Here is a 24,802-nt window from a genome sequence, read left to right on the forward strand (position 1 = left end):
TTAATTTCAAATTCCACTTGTTTTTTGCTAGTGTAAAGGAAAAAGATTGACTGTTCTATATAAATCTTGCGCTGTGCACCCTTACTATAATTCCGTATTACTTCCAGGAGTTTTTGTTGATTCTTTGGGATTTTTTATATAGACAGTCATGTCTTTTGTGAACAAAAGATGGTTTTATTTCTTTCTTCCCAAGTTGGAACATCCTTTCCTTGTTATTGGTCTTAACAGGAAAGCATCAAGTCACCATTAAGTATGTTAGCTGTAGATTTTTTGTAGATGTTCTTTATCAAATTGAGGACATTTCTCTTGTTTTATAGTTCGATAATTTTTTTTAAAAAAATCATGAATACCGATTTTGTCAAATGCTTTATCTGCATCTATTGATATGATCATGTGATTTTTTTTTCCTCTTTAGCTGTCCATGTGATTGATTACATTAGTTGATTTTTGAATGTTGAGCTATCCTTGCATACCTAGGAGAAAAACCCAGTTCATTGTGACATATTATTCTCTTTATACATTGTTGGATTTCATTGCTAATCCAATTAATTTGCTAATTTTTGAATTTATGTTCATACTGTTCTGCAGTTTTCTTATTAGGCCTTAGGCCTTGGTCTGGTTTTTTTTTTTTTTTTTTTTTTTTTGATTGGGGGGTGGGTAATGCTGGCCTCTTAGAATACATTAGAAAGTATTCCCTCTGCTTCTATCTTCTGGACAAAATTATATTGAATTAGTATAATTTTTCCTTAAATATTTGATAGAATTCACCAAACCCATCTGAAGTTGGTGCTTTATGTTTTTGAAGGTTGTTAATGTTTTGATTAAATTTCTTTAATAAGTATAGGCCTGTCCATGTTATCTATTTCTTCTTTGTGAATTTTGGCAGATTTGTGCATTTTTAAAAATTGGTCCATTTTGTTTCAGTTAAAAAACTTGTAGACATAGATTTGTTCATAGTACTATTTTATTTTCCTTTTAATTTCCCTGGGATATGCAATGATATCCTCTCTTTTACTTCCAACATTAGCAATTTGTGCCGTCTCTCTTTTCCTTGGTTAGCCTGGCTAGAGACTTACTGATTTTTATTGATCAAATAAAAACCAAATAACCAGCTTTTGGTTTTGTTGATTTTTTTTCCTCTATTTTCTGTTTTCAATTTCATTGATTTCTGCTCTTATTTGTATATTTATTTTGTTTTGCTTACTTTAATTTGCTCCTCTTTTTCTCCTAAAATGAAAGCTAAGATTATTGATTTAGTATTTTTCTAATGCTAAAAATATATTCTGGGCACTGCTTTTAGTACCTCCCACAAATTTTGATAAATTGCGTTTTTTTTTTCTTTTAGTTCAGAGTGTTTTTACATTTCTCTTGAGACATGTTTTTTATCCCATGAGTTATTTAGAAGTGTGTTGTTATCCAGGTATCTTGGGATTTTTCAGCTATCCTACATCTATAACTATCCTAATTTCTACTTGAATTCCTTTATGGTGGGAGAGTGAGTATTCTGTGATTTCTATTCTTTTAAATTTTTGAAGGTTTGTTTTATGGCTTAGAATGTGGTCTATGCTAGTGAATGTTCCATTTGAGTTTGAGAAAGAATGTTTATTGTGCTGTTGTTGGATGAAGTCTACAGATAGCCAGTATATGCAGTTGATGACAGTTTTGTTCAGTTCAGCTGAGGTTCTTATGATTTGTGGCCATCTGGTTCTGTTCATTTCTGATAGAGGTGTATTGAAGTTTCCAACTATAATAGTGGACTTATCTTTTCTCCTTGCAGTTCTATCAGCTTTTTCTCCCATATTGATACTTTGGTTGTGGGTGAGTTTGCATCCAAATTGTTATGTCTTTTTGGGGAAATTGACCCCTTTATCATTATGTAATGTTCCTTTTTATCCCTGATAATTTATTTTGTTCTGAGGTTTCCTGTGTCTGAAATATAGCTAGTCTGTCTTTCTTTTAGTGTTAACATAGTATATCTTTCTCCAACCCTTAATTTTAATCTACACATCTTTACATTAAATTTTTTATTTTGGACAACATATAATTCAGCCTTTTTTGCTCCACTCTGACAATCTCTGTCTTTTAATTGTTGTATTTAGATCACTGATGTTTAAAGTGATTATTGATCTATTTAGCATAGTGTCTACCATAACTATTCTTGTTTTCTGTTTGTTACCCTTTTTTTCCTAATTTTGTCTTCCACAATTTTCTGCCTTTTGTGGTGGTTTTATCTGACCATTTTATATGATTCTTTTTTTCTTTTTCATCAAACTTATCAAATCTTTCTCTTTTTAAATTTCTTTTTATGGTTGCCTTAAAGTTTGTACTGTACATTTACAACTAATCCAATTTAACTTTCAGAGGATAGTATGCCATTTCACAGATAGTGTTAATCCTTATAATAACATAATGATTCAAATTCTTCCATTCTGTCCCTTGTATCTTTGTTGTCATTCATTTCACTTATACTCAGCAGATATTAATATATGCATAAGTGTACATATCAAATATATTGTTGCTATTATTTTAAGCAAACTACTAGATCAATTAAGAATAACAAAAATAAAACTTTTAAAATTTTACCTACACTTATTACTTCTCTAGTGCCCTCTTTTATGTGGATCTGTATAACTTGCATCATTTTCCTTGTCTCTGAAGAACTCTTTTAACATGTCTTGTTGAGCAGATTTTCTAGCAACAGATTATCTCATTTTATCTGATCAAGTCTGTATTTATCCTTCACTTTTCAGGGACAATTTTGCAGGGTACACAATTCCAGATTTTTTTTTTATTATTATCTCATACTATGTATCTCAGCATAGAAATCTAACATGTTCTGTAGAAAAACATGGTAATGCATACTTTTAGGAATTCATGTGTACTCTCCTCCAATCTTGTAGTTTAAAATGCCCATCGCCTTATTAAAGATTTTATATTAAAATTGTACAGCTGCTGTTAATCTTCTTTGATCCCAGAAATCTTTTTTTTTTGAGACAGAGTCTCGCTCTGTCTCCCAGGCTGGAATGCAGTGGTGCAGTCTCTTTTCCTTGTAGGTCACTCCTAATACTTGTAATGCCATTTTCTACAAAGTTGTTCTATACTTCATGTTTTAGATTGTTATTAAAACAATATTTAATTAAAAAAATAAAATTCCATCCATGATTTATCAGTAAAAGTGTCCTTTTTTTGTGGGCCTTTTCAATATTTATTCACGTGTACATTATTTTGCATAGTTACAATGATGATAATGGTTTCAATAATTTTATATTTTTTCTTCAAATAACATTTTATAAACATATATCTAGCTTGAGGCATAGTTTTTATTTAATTGTACCATACTCCCTTGTTGTACATTTAAAATATTTTGGGTTTTGCACTTTCTAAAGAATGTTGCCTTATATATCTTCATGCATATTGTTTTTATTCCTTTGTATTACATGAAGTGCCCTGCTTTTACAAATAATCCATTGTTAAATATATAAGGCTGATTAATAACCTTTCGTGATATAAGAGTTTTTATTTCCAAGAGAGCTAAACATTTTGACATTGATAATTCTACCTTACCTTTACAGCTAGATTCTTCAATTATGTTATTTCAATATTATGTACTGGTCTTTGAATAGAATTCATTTAGACCATCCTGTGTCCAATAAATATCTAGCTAAGGATGACAATTCATATCTTTTTAAATGTTTAATGTTTTCATTTTATCACACTTGCATTCAGCTTATGAATCCTGTGCCTCTTATCACTGGTTTCAACACTTTTCATTTTCCTTTTTTTTTAACAAAATAATTTGGGTAAAATTCAATGTTCTGTCATAGAAACGGAATACAAATGATAAGAACTATGCACCTGAAACTGGTTTTGTGTCTGGTAGATTCTCACTCTGCAATAAAGTATTCTTTTGTCAACTGATTTTTTTAAAGGTCTGATTCTAACTGTATTAGGCACATTACCATATAATTTATGAAAGTGGAGTTTATAAAATAGACATGCATGAAAAATTGAGGACTAAATACGTAGTATTTTCTGATGATACATTTTTAGGAATAGGAATTGTAGAGTGTAAGGATGTTTATGACACTTAAGCATCAAATTGTTTCCTCAAAAGTACTATGTTAATTGTGCTACAGTTTGCAAGTGTGCATTAATCTGTTTCTTTCTTTTCTCTGCTGCTATGGTATGGATGTTTGTGTCTCCTCCAAAATTCCTACTGCAACTTCAGCATCTTTGTAATGTCCATATCTCCGGTAGTAAGAGGTGGGCCCTTTGAGAGTTGATTAGGTCATGAGGGCTCCACCATATAAATGGGACTAGTACTTTACAAAAGGGCTTGAGGGGCAAGTTTGGCTCTTCTACCATGTGAGAACATGGCCTTTGTCTGCTCAAGAGGACATAGCATTCATGGACCATCTTTGAAGCAGAGAACAGGTCCTCACCAGATACAGAACCTAACCTGCTGGTGTCTTGATCTTAGACTTTCTAGCTTCCAAAACTGTGGGAATTTTTTATTATGTATAAATCATCCAGTCTGTGGTATTTTGTTACAGCAGCACAAATGGACTAAGATACTTGCTAAAATAATTATCTTATATACATGCATTATTTATTTCAAATGCCCATTTGAAGGCAACTGTTAGGTTGAAATAAGTTTATGGATGCTCCCTGACTTAATGACAGTTTGACTTAGGATTTTTCAACTTTCTGATGTGAGAAAGCTGTATGCATTCAGTAGAAACCATAACCCTGTCATGAGTTGAGAGACTTACAACTTAGGATGCATTTTCAATTTATGATATTTTTGACATAGAATGGATTTATCATGGCATAACCCCATCTTAAGTTGAGGAGCATCTGTACTAAGTTGTACATAGGCACTCATAGGGAATAATAGAATTGGGATACATTTTCAAAAGCTATTTCACTTGAAAATGGTTGAAACAGAAATAATCCTCTGCTTAAATTGAGGATTGTCACAATCTTTGGCATTTAATAAAACATACACTATCCAAATATAGAGACATCATATGAAAATATAAACCAGGCCTGCCTTTTTAATGCTGATGCATCTCCCAATTTTTGTGTCATTCCTAATCACTCCCTTAAGTCAAAGTCCTACTTAAATAGGAAGAACAACTTATTTGCTAATTTTTTTCTCATGCCTATCAGTAATATGGCTATTTGGTTGAAGTAAATCTGCTATTATAGTTTTATGTTTTATTCATAGTAAGAAGCTTATTGCTATTATTTTGGGCTTGTGGTAACTTCTTTAAGTAGATTTAATCTCACAGTTTATCTATGTTAGGTTTTGTTTCCAAATATTATTTAATCTGTTGGCCCATAAATGGGTGAAATGTCCGTGAATCATTTTATTTTAAGAAGTTTATTAAATTTATTTAGTGTCTTTTAAGTCATGTTAAGTGGAGGCGTATTTACGAGTGTGTTTAAGACAATCTTACCAGATCACTTGATCTTACTCAATGTTTAAGCTTTATAGAAGGTAAAATAAGATGCTCATGAGTTTCTGTTACAGAATATATACTAACCCCCTCCACACACAATACACAAAATAATGTGAAGTTTGTGGATGTATGGTCAGTGGAAGTTTATACCTGAACATGAGCCACCATGATTGCTTAGTCTAAAATGTAATGTACAGAAAACTGCCATGTGTGATTGTGATTAAATTTGTCTACAATATCTTTTGTGACTCACATTCCAGGAAAGAAGAGGTTTTTTTTTTCTTTCTTTTTTCTTTTTTTTTTTTTTTAACAGGAATCAAGTAAAAACCACAGAACCTCTATATTTATATTTGAGTCTGAATCAAACATTTTCACTTGGAAGAATTTTTTCCAAAGGAGGGGAAAACAACTGTTTCTGAGTGCCTTTATTTTAGGTTAATTTTTTCAAAAGATTATCTCTGACACCTTTGCATTAAGTATCTAATGTATTAGTGGGACTCCATGGTTTGCATTTATTTCTTCAATTTGCTAAAAAAAAAAAAAGTCTACTAAAATTTCAATTTTTGAAAAGCAATTAATAGAATATCTTAGATAAGCAAAATGTAATAAACTCTTCACTATTTTTGGATGAGGTCTACTGGTATAGATTTCAGTTAATTTTCCTAATGCCTTTTTAAATTCTGGAAAGCCATCTTGTTAACCAGAGCAATCAGGGTAAATGACCACATGTAACCTATGTTACCGTGAAAACAAAGCAATATTAACTTTTCCTTAACTAGTGGCTTTGTTTATAAGTAGGAATAATAGTGAAGCTGTATGGCCTGTTTTGTTTCTCCCATATTGCCTCACTAGGTATGATGGTAAGTAATTATTGCCTAATTACAGAGCCCTGCTGTGAAATGAACACAGCCTGCATGTGTCCTATGCCTTTAACCCAGTTCGTATACAAACCAATTAGTATACCAGTCTAAAGCTAGAGTTAATGATTGCACAACTCTTAATTTTAGATTGATCATTGACCTATATGTAAAAGCTCTTAGAAGAAAATACAGTAGAAGATCTTCTTGACCTGGATGTAGGCAATAATTTTGTGGTACACACAAAGCAATAGTCATAAAAGAAAAATCGATAAATTAGGGTTTATCTGATTGAAAACTTGAAAACTTCTGCTACTTGAAAGACATCATTAAGAAAGTGAAAAGGCAAGCCACAAACTGGGAAAAACATTCATGAAACATATATCTGACAAAGAGTTTATATCCAGAGTATATAAATCAGTAATAAAAAAAGAGAACTAAAAATATATGAACAGCAGGCTTAAAAGAAAAAATTTAGAGGCTGGGAGCAGTGGCTCACGCCTGTAATCCTAGCACTTTGGGAGGCCGAGGTGGGCGGATTGCCTGAGCTCAGGAGTTCAAGACCAGCCTGGGCAACACGGTGAAACCCTGTCTCTACTAAAATACAAAAATTAGCCAGGCGTGGTGGTGTGCACCTGTAATCCCAGCTACTCAGGAGGCTGAGACAGGAGAATAATTTGAATCCGGGAGGTGGAGGTTGCAGTGAGCCAAGATCGTGCCACTGCTCTCCAGCCTGGGTGACAGAGCAAGACTCCATCTCAAAAAAAAAAAAAAAAAAAAAAAAAAAGAAAAGAAAAAGAAAGAACTTAGAAAATATAAGAATGGCCAATAAGCACATGATAAAATACTTAACATTTTTAGTCATTATGGAAATTCAGTTTAAAACCATAATGAGAGAGAGACTTTTGTACATCCAGTAAAATAGCTAAAATTTAACAGACTGAAATCACCAAATGGTGAGTGTGTAAATTAATAGGAACTCTCATACATTACTGGTAGTACAACCATTTTGGAAAAAGATTTGACAGTTTTTTATAAATTTAATCATACACAGTCCTACTAAGTATGCAAAAGAAATAAAAATGTATATCAAAGAATGTCTGTGATTCCTTTATTCACAGTAGCCAATAACTGGAAGCAGTTCTAAATGTCTATCTTCAGGAGAATGGGTAAACAAATTATGGTATATTTATACAGAGGAATGCTGCTTAGTAATAAAAAGGAATTTACTGATACATACAACTAACTTGTATGGATGAGTATTACAGATTTTTTGGCAGAGCGATGAAGCCTGTGTGTATGTATACATATATATATATATATCTCATATGTGTATATATATCTCTCTCTCATATGTGTATATATATATATCTCATATATATCTCATGTGTATATATATATCTCTCTCATATATATATCTCATATATATCATATATCTCATATATATATCTCATATATATATGTATATGTGTATGCATGTGATATATGGTCAGAGGAAAATATCAGAACACTTGTTGCTTTGGGGAAAGGGAATTTTTTGGGTAATGAAAATATTCTATGTCATGATAAAGATGTGTATCACACAGCTAAGTGCATAGCTAAGATTGTTCAAGCTTGTATAGCTAAGATTTGTGTATTTTCATATATGTAAAATCTACCTAAAGAAAAAGACTTTTAAAATAATCATTATCAAGTAGGTAGTGGGTGGCATTACAGATGATAAAAGATTGGCAGAATATTGATAATTGTTGAAAGTGAGTGATAGGTGTAGAGAGTTCCATTATTCTATTTTGTTTACTATCTATATGTTCAAAGCATTCTGCAGTAAATGTTTAAGTGTGAAAAGACCAACCACAAACAAAAGAGGAATTACTACTGCCTGTGTATTCAGAGAACACATTGAATCCAGGAGGATGCGTTGTCATTCTCTAGGTGATAGACTGAGGAGTATTAAGAATGAAGTGTTGAGAAAAGGCTATTTCAGGCATTCATGAAAATTCGTGACATATTTTACTTAGAACCACATTGTTATGTGTATGAAATGATGAGGAGTTTAGACGTTATACAATAGACCAGAGTTTTTGAGTCCTTGTTTGCCAAGGATTCTTTGAAGATTTGAATTCACAGTGTCATTATACATAACTCTGAAAAAAATAATACAAGGGCAATTTTCTGAAAAGGCCAATTTGCCGCTGTGAATGGCACATACTGTGTAATAAAACTGTTCTAGATTTTTAGAGTGATCTGAAAAAGATTTGTGAAGTCTGAAAGTTTCACATACCAAGAACAAAAATATACTTTCAACTTTTTGGTTTATCTTTCTTGTTCACTCAGAGGGCATGGATCTAGAATACCAAATCAAAAAATGAGTATGAACTGGGAAGATAAACTCTTGAGTGAGTATTCTATATTCTCAGTAGATAACAATGAGAAAGTATATATGTTCATTTTAGATCAGAAACAAAAGACCGTTTTTGAAATAATTGATTATATTTTACAAGGGAACAAGGTTTTAAAGTATTTTATGATCAAATGTCAAAGTATGTTTGTTTGTTTGTTTGTTTTCATGAATGAAGAGAATAAGTGCCTAACTTGTCTCAGATTTTGGTATCAGTTCTATAACTGTTTCCTATAAGAAGAAAGGCCTGTATAAAATAGTATTGAATATATGCAGGAGGCTTTTATGAGGTAACATTGTTTATGTGTCTGTATATGGATTGTATGTTATGACGGCTCACAGCTAAAAAGGTTTCTAGTATCCTGTATCTGTTAAAGTTGGAAGGAGATGGAAATAGGATGTTCTCTAATTTTTTTAAATAGAAATCTCATGGTTTGAATTTTTTTCCCAGGTCTAGTTTAATGAATTATCTGTTATGATCTAGGTCTCTAATTCTTCTCCCTTAATAGTTAATTAGGATAATCCAGAAAAGGAGTCCTAGGCAAAAAAAAAAAAAAGAGAGTTAAGCAACATTTCTTAGTCTAGGATATATTCCATTTTTCTTGTCAGAACTATAATTTGCTGCCCTCGACCTCTTTTCTAAGCTTTAAACTAATATTTCAACAGACTTCTGAACAGCATACTAAAAATTAATACTCCATTGGCATCTGTAATAAAAGCAAATAAAAGAGGCTATATAGAGCAAAGTGGTTTGTAATTTTTTATTTATTCATTCATTCATGCATGCATGAATGCCTATGTTTGTTTATTCTATAAATACACTGAGAGCCTCTAGAGGGTAAACTTCTGTAAGGTCTAATGGAAGCAACAGATGGATGGCAGGCAACAGAATGTTTGATAGTACTTAATGACAATAGAAAGAAAACCTAATATGATGAAAAAAAGAAAAATGAGACTAGCAGTAGAGCCATTAGCACTGAGACTTAGACATGTGTGGTGCCACTATTAGCATGTACTCTTGACAGTGTTTCTCAAGCTAACTGGGATGACAGAACATTTTTTAAAAATCTGTCAGGGGTTTATACTTGTACAAAATAGAATAAAAATTATTAGACAAACGAAATGGAAAATAAATACAAAGTACAACCCTGATGTTTTGTTATTAGGTCCAATAGTTATAAAAATTAATAAATGTTTATAAAACTTGCTAAACGCAAACTATAAATTTCTATACTGTGGTAACAATAGTTTGCAGAACCTGTTTACTGGTTTTTGACCATACTATTTCTATATCCCTAAACCCTTCAGTGAAGGGGAATGGTGATAGCATCATTGGTCACAGGCCTCTAGGAATAGCATAGCCCTGTTTCTATAGGGTTATTTAACAAACTGAATGATAGCACAGTAAATTCACTTAATGTGCCCCTGATGGAATTGTTGTGCTAAAGAATTTATTCGTTATAGAAGTCTGCCCATCAGCAACAAATTAAATTATATGTTATGAAACCTATTGAGGTGGAGAAGAATGGCATTCATTTACAAAAATTTTCTATCACAATTTTTAAATGCTGAAATTTGTCTTAGGGGCATAGTTACGATAATTTAGAAATTTATTTTCCACTGAACAATTCGTATTTCAATTGTGATGGGTAAGATTATATGAATGTAATATTTGTGAAAAATAATCACAAAATAAAATTTGGGCAGCCAGCTAGCCAAGAGAGATTGCATTTGGAGAATAGTACCAATATAAGTCCCGCGGAGGTACTTCCTCTGCCATTTTAAGATGGAATACTCTGCAGCCATTAAAAAGACAAGATCACGTGTTTGTGGGAACATGGATGGAGCTGGAGGCTATTACCTTTAGCAAACTAATGCAGGAATAGAACACCAAATACAACACATTCTCACTTACAAGTGAGAGCTAATTGATAAGAACTCATGAATACAAAGAAGGGAACAACAGACACTGGGGTCTACTTGAGAGTGGAGGGTAGGAGGAGGGAGAGGAGCAATAAAGATAACTCTCGGGTACTGGGCTTAGTACTTTGGTGATGAAATAATCTGTACAGCAAACCAACGTGACACAAGTTCAACTATGTAACAAACCTTCACATGTACTCCTGAACCTAAAATAAAAGTTTTTCTTAAAGATTTTTTTTTTTAAAAGCAGTTCCTTCTGCTCAATCATGGGAGGATAGAAAGATTAGAAATTTATTAAAACAATAGAAGCATTTCAGCAGAGAATATCCTGCACCAACACCTTTTCTTTTTCTTTCTCACTTCTTTATTAGCTAAACTATACCTTTTCTCCTTCTGATGTTTTGACCTAGTGTCATCTTAAAGAAATTTAAAATGTTAGTCTTAGTTATATATCAGTTTGTTTAAATCTGTTTTCAAAGGAGTGCTATCTAACACTTAGATTTATTATTGGCATGTACTGTTTTAGGAACTAATATCAAATGAGTGATAATTTAGTTGACATTTGACTATGCAATCCTCCTAACAGCATATTATGGTGGGTATTAGAATTATTTGGGATAGTTGGATAACTTGCCAAAGGTTCAGAGCTGGATTTGGTGAATTAAAACACTAATCTATCCTACCTCTTAGTCCCCCTCCCCCACAAAAAACCCCAGATCAGTAAAATGACACATATAAGGGACCGAAACAAAACCAACAAGCAAAAACTAACTAGGACAAATAACTATGAAAGGAGATAACAGGTGTACAATTATCAACTAATTTAGCAGAGAAGAGCAAGTTGTAATCTTAGCTTATTGAGGTGAAACCCATGAAGAAGCTGGTTTGTCCTGCAAAACCCTAGAAAGCTGTGGGAAATACAAGCACTAGGTGCTGTATAGCTCTGAAAACAAGAGGAATGGTTGAAAGTCTATATGACTAGCAGTTGTGTTCTCAAGTCCTCTTGTGCACTGTCTCAGTCAGCTCAGGCTGCCATTAAAAAGCACCCACCATAGACTGGCTTAAACAACAGGAATTTATATTTACAGTTCTGGAGGCTAGAAAGTCCAAGATCAAGGTTTCTGCTGAGTAGGCCTCTTCTTTTGGCTTGTAGGTAGCCACAGTCTTGGCTGTGTGCTCACACAGAGAGAATACGCGAGTGCTCTTTTCCCCATCCTCAGGACTTTGTCTAATCCCAGTTACCTCCTAAAGGCCCCATCTCCAACTGCTATCACATTGGGGATTAGGGCTTTGGCATATAAATTTGTGGGGGAGGGAGGTAAAAAATATTTATTCCTTAACACACATCATACTTAACTAGGGGATTTATTGTACATCCTAGCAGAACAAAAGAGAAATCAAAGCAGATAATCTCTGAACTCATAAAGGGCAAGAGCAAGGCATGGGACTAAAAACAAGGAGATTAAACCAAAGACCATTACTGAGCAGTGAGGTCTCCACTATGCCTCTTAACACATTGCTCCTAGAATGCTGAAAGTTTGGCTCATAGCACCACTTAAGAGACTGGAGAATTTTTTTCTAAGCAAAAAGACTGGCTCAAGAGAAAATGTTCATAGAACTAACATTTGGGAATCTCCACAACCATGAAAAATCAGTTCAATATCTTTTGTGGCTATTGTGAAGCTTACTCACATACACAGAATTTCCTTTCAGCATTTTTCTGTTTGAGGTTTTAATATAAATGAACATAAAATTGTTACCAAACAAAAACATCTCAAATGAAGAAGTTACTGACTCAAAGGAACAAATAAAAAGAAACTTCAAGGAAACAGAGACAGTTTAGAAGTAGGGAGAGCCCTCCCCTTCAAAAAACTATATTTATATAGTTTTTTGTAGTTTTAATATAAATACAGTTTTATGAAGGTGAGAGGTCCTCCTACTTCAAGTGATCCTCCCAACTTAGCCTCCCAAGTAGCTGGGACTACAGGCTCATGCCACTATGCCCAACTAATTGTTGTATTTTTTTGTAGAGACCACGGTTTTATCCTGTTGCCCGGGCTGGTCTCTAACTCCTGGACTCAAGTGATCCATCCATCTTGGCCTCCCAAAGTGCTGGGTTTACATATGTGAGCCACCTTGTGCGGCCTCAAAAAACTATAATTCTGATTTATAAGAGAGAGAAAAGAACCAAGTAACTGCAACAAAAATGTCCACTTCAGAAAGGGAGAATGATGAAATAAATAACAGTGATTGGTCAGTAGCAGATACAAAGTATTTCTGGACAAAAAGAGCAAGGATTCCTTTCTCCAAGAGTGGAACAATTTCATTGATTAGGTGCTCTGGCAGTCCATGATTGTTTTCTGTAGGGGAGTCTCCTTTGCCCGTTGTCCTGTTATTGTTAGAAAAGGTGTAATTTGGTATTTTTGCTAGAGTACAGTTTGAGAGTATGCATTAAAATATACAACTTGCTCAACCTTCAGCCTGTTAATATGGTTTCTAGGAATTTCTCATAAGGCTATAATTGTACAATTTCACAAAGATGCATGCATAAAAATAAACATTTTTTAAAGTGAAAAATTGGGAACAACATAAAAGTCTATAAAAAGGAGAATGGTAAAATATATATTAAATTTAACAAAACAAAAAGAATAATGCTATATACTATAGAGTTCCAAAAGGTTACAGAATACTACTTATATATAAATTCATTATATAAAATATTGAATAAACAGCTCTCCAGAAGGATGTTTGCCTAAGTGTTATCAGTGATTTTCTTTGGGTAATGGGACACTGGGATATTTTCACTTCTTTATATTTTTTATAATGAGCATATATCAGTCTTACAAAAATCAAAATACATTGTATTGAAACACATGGGTTTTGAATAGCCTCTTGTGAATTATTTGTTTGCTTTACAAATTATCTATGTTTAATTTTAAGATCTAAATTTTGGCTGGGCACGGCGGCTCATCCTGTAATCCCAGCACTTTGGGAAGCTAAGGTGGGAGGATCACATGAAGCCAGGAGTTCAAGTCCAGTCTGGGCAACATAGAGGATGAAGGAAGGAAGGAAGGAATGAATAAAGAAGAATGGGAAGGGCAGGGCAGGGCAGGGCAGGGCAGGGCAGGGGAGGGGAGGGGAGGGAAGGGAAGGGCAGGGCAGGGCAGGGGAGGGGAGGGGAGGGGAGGGGAGGGAGGGGAAGGGAGGGGAGGGGAGGGAAGGGGAGGGGAGGGGAGGGGAGGGGAAATTTTCCCCTTGCCATTAAGTATCTTTCTGAATCATTTGTCCTAATACCAATTGCAATTTGTTCAGGAAACATCTTATTTTAATAATAGTAGTAGTCTGAAATGACAAAATCGGAAGCATAGATTACTCTTATTCTGTTACAGCCAAATGGCAATGAGGCCTTACTTGACATACGGATTACATTATGTAGCTTTTAATTACTATAGGTAATAATGAGGTATAATGTACTGGGCTGCTTTTAGTATTAGATAATTACTACTACCGATAATGATTATATAGGGTAGGATTATTGTTGAAATAAAGACCTAGTAACTTACCTAGCCTCTCTAAGTCTCAGCTGACTCATCTGAAAATAAGAAGAATGTGGAAGAATTCGGCAGTTTGTTGTGAGAGTTTAATGTGGTACTACTACATATAAAGCACTTTCAACAGTGCCTGGAACCTCAAAAGTGCTATTATTATCTATAAGTATGAGAAAAGCCAGTAACCCAGTTGTATTTTCTCAAGTGAATCTGTGATTTTACTTAGGATATATTTTATGTAGGATGCTTCTTTCAAACAGTAAATTTCAGGTTTGTTCTTACACAAACAAGCTCAAAAATTGTCTTCTGTTGTAGGATACTGTCAGAATTAAGAAATGACATTCAGGAATGAATTTTATAAACATCACATTGTCATTTTAGCTAATGTACCCTCTTCAAATTTAGTTTTTATTGGACCACTTAGGAAATTTAGCCCACTTATAATGAATTACTTAGTGATTTCTATTAGTTTGACTTCTAACATTACCAGTTCTTTTTAAGGAACATTTGTTTTCTAAGTTATTAATAACTCCAAAAATTTTATTCTGTATTTTAATTCTAAACATTTTTGTTTTATTTGTGTTATGTTTACCTCTTCCCAAGCCTAAATTGAATATTTTTGGTCTCATACAGTTTTTAAGTCTAATTATTTGCCTGGTATAATATCTTTGTATATTTTCTCATATGTATATTTCAAATAGGGTTAGGTATTGTTTCTGATCCTATGAAATTCTGCGTGCATCTAGATTTACAGAGAATATAAAATTAAAATCTCAGTTATTAATACTTATACGTTAATTATGTGGTAAGTCTACTCATTTGTTAATTAGCTGCCTTACATAATTTCATATAGTACCCATAATTTCTCAGAGTCATGTAATGATTTGTATCACAGTTTGGATTTGTTTTTAAGGAAAAACACATCTTTCATGTGATTTTACTTACTCTCTTGAAAAACACAGATGAAAAGTAACATAATTAAAAGCAGGAATAACAGATTATCTTAAGTAGACATGGACTGTTTGGTCACTTACTCTCAATATAGACTGTCTCCCTAAAAATGTTTTAAATAAGAACAACTTTAAAAGACACAAATCTATTTTAAAATATTGGATATCCAATGAGTTTATATTTAAAGGAGGCTTGGATATAAATAGCATTCCAAATCTGAGAAAATATCTTACTTGCCTTTAATAACTGAATGAAAAATATATGAGTAGCAATACATATTTTTTAGTTTTGTTTCCACATCAGTGCACTGTTCTGGAACAGTATTTGCCTCATCGTTATTGGAGATACTGAGGCTGCAAAAGTTGAATATTCTCAGAAAGGTCTATTGAAACATCAAGTGCTTGGTCCATGGTAACTGGTTGATAGTTATGTGAGCTTTTTCTGTAGCACATCAAAATAAAAATAGATACATTAACTTTATACACATTTATATTACCTGTTACATAATATTTCTTGGACTCATTTCATAGATTTAGTTTTTGAATCTGTGGTAAAATCTTGAGGTGACAACAATTAATAAATCTTTCAATTTTTTTTAACAATGCCTTACTAGGAACACAAATAATCTATGATGATAGTTGTTCATCAAGCAGATATTTTATATTTCTCAGTTATCATCTAATTGCTTCATTGCTTCTGTTGCTGCAAGCTAATAATAATCATTTTAGTGAGTAATTTTTCGAAATTTAATCTTGGAAAATACATCATTTTCTGATTAATTTTTCAATTTTGAGTAGTTGTTCTTAAGTTAGATTTCTTGTCATATACTCTGTTGAACTTGGGGCTAAGAAATGTATCTTGGCTGATTGTAGAAAGATGAATTTAGTGTTTTTTTCTCCTGAACCTTCGTTTTAGGGAAATTCTCATTTTTTCCTTTTGTAACTACTTCAATTTTCTGGACAAATGAATTCTACCAGCTACTCTCCTTGTTGACAGATACCTGTCTCAGAGCCATAATATAATTTGCTTATCATTCCTTGTAGCATCAGAGGCTCCTTGAAATGCTAGATACAGAGAAGGAACTGTTAAAAGAAAAAATAAAGGAAGCTTTGATTCAGCAATCTCAAGAACAGAAGGTAATACTTTAACTGTGCTCAGAGTGTAGAAAGAATGTGTTCTGTTACCTCAAATAATACATTTAATGTCTTTCCAACTGTTTTATCATTTGACAGGAAATATTGGAAAAGTGTTTGGAGGAAGAAAGGCAAAGAAATAAAGAGGCATTAGTATCCGCTGCAAAGGTATTTCCATCTGTAATAGTGGGTTGCTTGTAAGTAAGTGGAATTAAAAAATGGAATATATTAATAGTATTCTCAATCTTTTATAAAATGTTTCATTCCATAAAAATCGTTTTTATTTCTTTTATTTACTTTTAAACTTAAGATATGACTACTTATATTCTTATTAAATTCACATCACACAAGATAATGGTAGCATTGAAATGCTTTACAATGTAGGTTATTAGTTACTTATTATAAAGAACATATATGTTGCAACACTAATATCCACCTGCTATTTGTTGCATCTAATTAGAGGTTGTGTGTGCATCTGTGTATCAAGGTAAGTAATTTTTAAAGCCAAGTTTAAAATAACTCATCTAAATCATGTATTCATAGATATAAAATATACACACACCAACAAATACACTTTTAACACTTACTTTTGAGTTTTAGATTTAAAATTAAATTTAGCAAACAAATATTGAATGTCTCATATCTGTGTATCACTATGCCAGGGTTAAATTCAAGGGTGACTATGATTTTGTCTTTTTCTTAAATAATTTATAATCAGATAAGAAAAATACTATTTATATACCAAGAGGGCAAGGAGGAATGCACTAAATTATTATGAGTATGTACATCATATATCTATGTCATAGAAGTTTTTTTAAAGCAATAAATTACTTTTGAATTGAGCCTGAAAGGATGGCTAGCATTCTGAACAGAGTTTGAATTTTATTCCATAGGATAAGGGAGACATATTGACATTTTAAAAACATGTTTGTGATCTAATGGTAATTGACATTAAGTTTTGGGAAAGTAGAGGCAACAAAAGCTAGAGGCAGGGAAAGAATTCATAGAATGCATCAAAAGTCTGTCTAAGAGATACTGAGTGGTAGAAACAGACCAGTAGTAGTAGTTTGGAAAGGAAAGAAATAGACAAATTCTAGAAATATGGAGAAGATGGAGTCAACATATATGTTTGATGTGAATAATATAGAAGGTGGACAAGTTGTATACTGCTAGAGTATGGATTTAAGAACAAAATGGAAAGTAGCCCTCTTTCTTTGGAATAGAGTTTGAGGTGATTTAAAGCAAAAAGTCAAATTTTAGAAAACTCGTATCTGTTTTCCAATATGTATGTTCCTGATGAGATTTATGGTAACATTAACAAATGTGATTTTTAAATTATGATATACAGAAATGTGTCAGCATCTGGAGAAGACATGTAACTCAGTGAATCAATATTTTTCACATAAAAATGTTAAAAATTATGCATCGATAAATGATTCATTCAGATTGCAAGAAAGGACTGTAATATAATAGCATGAAAATTTCATTTGACATAATTTTATTTTCATTATGACACCTAACCTTTAAGAACTAGTCCTTGTCAAGTTCTGATGTGAAATCATCAAGAATATCCACAATTATTTAAACTGGCTACTAAATACTCAGTTTTTCCTACAACCTATCTGTGTGAGACTGGGTTTTCTTTATATACTTCAACTAAAAAACATCATTACAGATTTAACACAGAAGGAAGAAATAAGAATTAATTTAGCTGTCTTCTGTTAAGTCAGATATTAAAGAGATTTACAGACACATACAGTAGCATTTTCCTTTTTTAATTTTAGAAAGTAGTTTTTCATAAAATATATTATTTGTTAATATCATGCAATTATATTAATTTTAAATGAATTAATAATTTTATTTTTTCTTGAATTTCTAATATGTATTAATACATATGATCAACATAAACAAAATCTCTTTGATATCCTCAATAATTTTAAGATTGTAAAGGGATCTTTAGACCATATAGTTTGAAATCTGCTACTCCACCCTAAGGCCTGATTTCTTTGAAGATTAGAAATGCCATGGAAATTAAGTAGGAATATTTGTATAAAAAAGAATAATAGATTTTATTTTGTAGCAGTTATTTACTATGCATAAAAACAGCAATGTTAGAACTAAACACTATAGGATCAAAGTTTTTTATCTTTTAGGTTAACCAAGTCTGTTACTCAAGAAATTATTATGCAGTCTTTCAAATTTGTTCTGGTCTTTATTTATTTTGAAGCTTGAAAAAGAAGCAGTGAAGGATGCAGTTTTAAAAGTCGTAGAAGAAGAAAGAAAAAATTTAGAAAAAGCGCATGCTGAAGAAAGGGAATTATGGAAGACAGAACATGCAAAAGATCAAGAAAAAGTATCTCAGGAAATTCAAAAAGCTATACAAGAACAAAGAAAAATAAGTCAGGTTAGTAATATTAACTGTTAGTAAATATTTACTTTTTTCTCATTTTTCTCAAAATGAAGTACCCTTACTCTATCTTTTATCTTACTTAAAACAACCTTAGTAGATATTTATGACTTTTTAATTTTTAATTTTCATTTTGATGTTTATATTTTGAATTAATCATTTTTAATATTTTAATGTGCTTTCATCTTTCTGATATTGAAAACTTAGTAACTGACCATTTTACCCTTTTACTTTATTTTCTAAAAGGTCAAAACAAAATTTATGTTTAGTCATTGCAAATATATTAACCTTTCTGTGTTGTTTTTCCTTTTCTCATACATAGAGACACATACGCACACATGCACACAGACTCAATCAATACAAAATAATATATTTGTGTAGAAAACAATTTGATTCAATTAATTTATAATTCTAATTTGTAAATCTCTATACCTATAGTTGGTAACAATAATTAATAAAACCTCACAAATATTCCCTATAGTCTCATAAAGATACATAATGATCAACAGGCATGACCTACATGCAGAATAACTTTTGATTGTTTATCTGACAATTAAAAACACTACCTTAGTTTGTTTTTCTGTAATTGAATTTGCACAGTTCTATTTTACTTGAATTAGTCTTTTTATATATATATAGGCAGAAGTACTTAAATAAATCTTCCCTTAAGTATCAAAAGCAAAAGAATAACATTCATAGAAGTCTAACATGTTCAAACTGTTAAATATACTACAATTGTTCATTCACATTATAAATGCAGCTAAAATGACTAACCTTTCAGATCAACCCAGATTTTTTTTATGACTCATTAATCTTAATGAAGCCGTAAAAAGCTCAAAGTTTTTAATATCCAAGATAAAAGTTATATTTTTAAAAGATGTCACTTGTTTATTCTCAGGAACACACAGTTACCCATTTATTACAAAAATTAAACAGATCTGTAGGTACCATCTATGTTAAAATAACAGTAGTACAGTAGCAGATCTTTTTTTTTCTTGCGTTTTTTCACTAAAGCAATATTACCTTCTAATTCTTACCGTAACCTATCAATAAATATATATTGAGTACCTATTGCATATAAAATGTTTGTCACTTCAGTTGGTTGGAATTTCATGCCAGTAAGGTCAAGTTCACTGGCTAAGTTCTTATTCGGGAGAGTTTATTTAAATTTGTTTTATGACCCCGAACATTCCTGTAACCTCACATAGATGTGGGCCATTCATCACTTGAATTGGGTAAGAAGGCATGAAAAAAATCAGCACATATTCGTCATCCTAATGGAAAAATATATATTTTAAAGAGCACACTTCTCTGCTGATTTGTCAAGAGTCTACAAGAAACATGCAGTATATGATACACTACTTTGAAATTTGTCTTCTATAGGTTCAGAATATGGTGAAGACAATCTAAACATGTCTTGAATAAATTATATTAATTTCCTTACAAATGTTTGCACGTTTTGCTAGAAAGTCTCTGCCAAGTTAAATTATATATCTCTGTATCATTTGGGTGGATTTCAGGACATTTATTTCTTTGTTTGGAACATTATTCCTTATTTATTTTTCTTGACTCTATATGTTGGTTTCTATGCATTAGAAATAACAGCTACCTCTCACAGTCTTCACTGACTGGCCTTGTACTGGTGAAGACCCACACCAATCAACCTAATCAGAGATTTTGTGGGCCTCTCAAACCTTTATGCTAATCCAAACTGCTGTGTTTGTTGTTGGCACCGCATAGCTGTCTATAGTACATGGTGTTCCAATGCTTGCAGATAGGTGAGACAGAAGCCAGTCTCCCAGGAGCCCCTGGAAAAATTCGAACTTTGGACACGTAGTCCAGCTCTTTCCCTCCCTAGGGAGAGGCTGCAGTCTGAGGTTTTTTGCCATCTTTCTTGGACTGGGCAGGAGAGTAGGCTATAACAACTGTTTGCTTGTTAATTTAAGCCGCTATCTTTATTCTCACAGGCCCCCAGGCATCAGTAGTATGCCAGGTCCTGTTACGGCTCTGAGATAGGTAAGACAGAAGCGAGTAACCTGGGCAGTTTCTAGAAAGGTTGGTTGGACATGTAATCCAACTTTCTTCCCACCAGAGAAGTTGAGAGCTGTGGGTTTCCTTTGATCATATGGCACTGTACTGGGGATAGGGATTGTGGTGAGAGTTAGGTCTTGAGTTTTCCTACCAGTTTCAGTATAGCCGGTTTCATGCTTGCCCAGGGTGAAGGACCCTTTCAGTTTGTCTCTGGATTTCCCACAAAGGGTATTTGTGCATGCGTCGTTGTAAATTGAGTGTTTCCATGGAAGGACAGAGGATCCAGGGTTTTCCTGTTTCACCTCTTGTTGACATCATCTGGTATTTTAATATTTTTCTAAATTCCCAAGGTAAAGGAAAAAGTAAATGAATAATGTATCTGATTATAATCATTCAAAAAAATGAAAATTATGCTAGTTGTAAAATACCAGCTACAAGAAAAATAGGCATGTAGAAAACATGCAGTAAATATCCTGAAGAGTATACTTCCCAGAAGATGCTTTTTAGGACTTAATTGTATTTGTTGTCCAAAATTTTCAAATAAGTTTATAGATATCATTTATTAATTAATCATATTAGTTTCCTAGGAAAAGCCAATTGGAAAAACTAATATATTACTACAGATTGGTTTGTATAAAGTCCCATGAGCTTAATTAATTACCCTAAATTAGTTTCGTTGCAAGACTAGAAGTATAATTTATAAATAGACTTTACCCCTGGGCTACTAGTGATAGGAATCTGAAATACTGCCTCTTCATTCTGTACATACCCTGGAGGATTTTAACTGAGTTTCACATTTATAATTAATGTCCTTGTTACTTCTTTTAGGGAAAATCCCTCAAATAAAGGGCATTACAAAAGCTGACAGATCATTATCTGATAACAATAAGGGAAACAATAATAGTTCCCCATGTTCAAGTTTCATTAAGTTGCCTTTATTCTAAGCAAATATATTAAGTTAGTTTAGCTAAAAAGGTATTTTTATGTTTTTTTTTTTCTTTGTAGCTTTGCCTGCAGAAAATAATAGCAGTAAGATAATAGCAGAACTGGTGGTGGTGGAGATGGCAATAATTAACAACATTGACTATCATTAATTCTAAGTGCTGAGCACTTTTCTAATTTTTTTAGATGTTTTATGTCAATTCCTCACAATGACCTTATGAAGTAGGTACTATTATTATCCCCATTGTTACAGATGGGGAGACTAAAGCTTACAGAGATTATGTAACTTGTTTTAGGCCATGTGACTTTTTAGAGGAGTCAACAGTCAGTATTCAAATTCAGGCAGTTTAACTCCTGAGGCCTTGTATTTTGCCACTACTCTATTCCATCTCCCTGTGTTCTCATCTTAGTATAAAGTACAGATTTATGTCATTTATCATTTAGTGTTTGAAATGATCCTAGGAAACTGATAGATAAGTTCTATAGGCAAAACTTTAAGAAGGTGTTATTTTTATGTATTGTCCATTCTGTAACATTTATGGCGCCTCTGCCATGTTTTGGCACTGTTACACGTTTCTGACACACAACATTAAGCAAGATAGTCAAGGCCCCTGTGCTTTCACAGAGCTTACATTCAAGTTGGAAAAGAGCTATGATAAGCAAATCATGCCGTGTGGTGCTGTGGGCTAGGAAGAAAAAGTTTGGGGTTATATATTTAGCTGATAATGGTTGTAGGGGATTTCTTTAGACAATATAGTTAGGAAAGAAGCCAAACTCAGTAAATTTTCATTTCATATAAGTCAATTTATATGAAATTCTAGGGAAGACAAAAGTGATATGAGAGAAGACACATCAGTAGTTACAATAACTGAGGGCAGGGGAATTTTTTGAGGGCGATGATAATGTTTTATGTCTTGATTGTGATAGCGCTTATATTTGACAAAACATATCAAATTACACACTTAATATTTGTGAAAATTATATGTAAGTAATACCTTAATAGAGCTGATTTTTAAAAAACAAATGACTATCAGAATAACTGACTGGATGGATGGTGATTTTGGATGTAATTTCATTTACTGAGGTGAGAAAAGGTTAAGTTTCATGGGGTTAAAAAATCTAATTTGTGTGTATTAAATGTGTGATGCTTATTCATGAGCCTAGAGGAAATGTTGAGTAGGCAGTTAGAAATATAGAAATGGAATTCAGGGGAGTTGTCAGGCCTGGAGATAGAAATTTTGGATTAATAAGCATATAGTTGTTATTTAAAGCCAAATAAATAAAAAGGAAATAATTTCTAGATAGGGTTCTATGACATTCTTTTATGGATTGTGTCCATCTTCTACCTAGAAAGAATATGGCCACTTTAGATTAACTGTAAATAGTTTCACACGTAACAGTTTTACTTCAGATGAAATAATGAAAGTGTTAAAGTTATTGGTGCTGTCTGTGTCACCCTGTAACCCATGATTGAGTAGCCAGGCATTCATCCAGACTTTCTAGGAAGCTCAGGTCACCACTACGAACAACAGCTTCTGCCACTTTCTGCTGAGCCCCAGCCTAGATGCAGAAGTCAGTGCTCATTCTGTCTTTTAGGTGTTTGGCAGCTAGTTGGGATACATAGACCTGAAGAGCCTCTCTCCAGGGACCTACAAACTGTTTTGAGTATTAACTGAAGGGACTGACTTTTTAAAAGCTTGGAAGCCGTTTTTGAATTCTAAGGTTTAGGTCACTTCACAGCACTCAAATGTTCTTTTAAAGAAAACTAAAAAGCAACCATAATTAATAGCAGTTAATATCTTTCTTTGTCTACTAAGTCACAGTAGAAATTAGGAAATGATCTAGTATGGCAACACAAAAACATTGTGCAACTTAAGCCACTTCAATTATTCCTGAGAAATGAAAAGGGAAAAATCAGCTTCTGCTTTAGAATTTACCTCCAGATTTCCTCTCTGCTAGTACTGGCATTTACTGAGGAGATAAATGTTAAACTATGACAGAAAACCGAGTACCTAAGGATTGTGGTAGATAATTCTCAGAATTTACTTGAGAGATGTTTTCCTTTGGCCTTGATCGTAAGTTAAGACTAAGTCTTAGTGTTGATTGTAAATTGTACTTTTTTTCTGAGATAATAAGAGGAAAATTTATGACCCTGGCTTATTGATTTTCATATTAAATTAATTCTGGGTCACTTAAAAGTCTTTGTTAAGTAAAGGAAAAGACGTTTGTTATTGACACCAAAGTAGGCAAAAAGAGGATAGTCATTAATTTTGCTGTTCTAGCAAAATCCTGTAAAAGAACTCCAGTGCACACAGACACTCAAACTATGTCTGACGTTGGAAGCTCTTCATAATGGTTTATAACCACAGCCACTGTAATTTGGGGTTATGTTTTCCCGAGAAGCCACAGACATTACAATCAGTGGTTAAATTTTCCTTAAGAAATTTAGTACTGCCACCTGACCCTTCTTTTAAAAAAGGAAATAGCATTTCTATTTTAGCTTAGCAGGCTATTTTCACAACCCTGAAATTTTTCTGTGCTGACTTCTTTAGTTTTGATTCATTCATTCATTTTAAATTTTTTATTTACAATACTTTGATAATAATCTAGATGATAATAAAATCATAATGACATTTTAAATTATCAAATGTATCATATCTATAGAGAAATTATACCTTTTCATCTAAGTCCTTTTTTCCTTCTATTATATTTTTTTCAGTTATAGTCATTCAGTGAGATGTCTGTAATACAACATCTGCCAAGTTTTTCAGTCCAGAGAATGAGAATTCATCCTAGATTTTCCCTTTTGTCCTCATTTGCACACCTTTTTTTTTTTTTTTTTTTTTTTTTTTTTTTTAAGATGGAGTCTCACTCTGTCGCCCAGGCTGGATTGCAGGGGTGCTATCTTAGCTCACTGCAACCTCCCCCTCCTGGTTTCAAGCAATTCTTCTGCCTCAGCCTCCTGAATAGCTGCAACTACAGGTGCACACCACCACACCTGGCTAATTTTTGTATTTTTAGTAGAGATGGGGTTTCACCATATTGGCCAGACTCAAATTACTGGTCTCAAACTACTGACCTTGTAATCCACCCACCTCACATCTTTTTAATTATCAGAACCTTTCCATTTTACCTGAAAAATAATCC

The 24,802-nt window shown here is 32.8% G+C and overlaps 1 protein-coding gene across 37 annotated transcripts in view; it reads left to right on the top strand.

Annotated features, from left to right (window-relative positions):
• CCDC91 (coiled-coil domain containing 91) overlaps positions 1-24,802 on the top strand; it is a 359,711-nt gene that overhangs the window by 243,520 nt on the left and 91,389 nt on the right. For all 37 annotated transcript variants that reach the window (NM_001352086.2, NM_001352079.2, XM_047429083.1 and 34 more), the window contains 3 exons: positions 16,186-16,278; positions 16,375-16,443; positions 18,503-18,679. In NM_001352086.2, coding sequence (NP_001339015.1) covers positions 16,186-16,278; positions 16,375-16,443; positions 18,503-18,679 — 339 coding nt within the window. The remainder of the gene's footprint in view (positions 1-16,185; positions 16,279-16,374; positions 16,444-18,502; positions 18,680-24,802) is intronic.

This window comes from Homo sapiens, chromosome 12 (assembly GCF_000001405.40).
Source record: "Homo sapiens chromosome 12, GRCh38.p14 Primary Assembly".
Taxonomy (NCBI): Eukaryota; Metazoa; Chordata; class Mammalia; order Primates; family Hominidae; genus Homo; species Homo sapiens.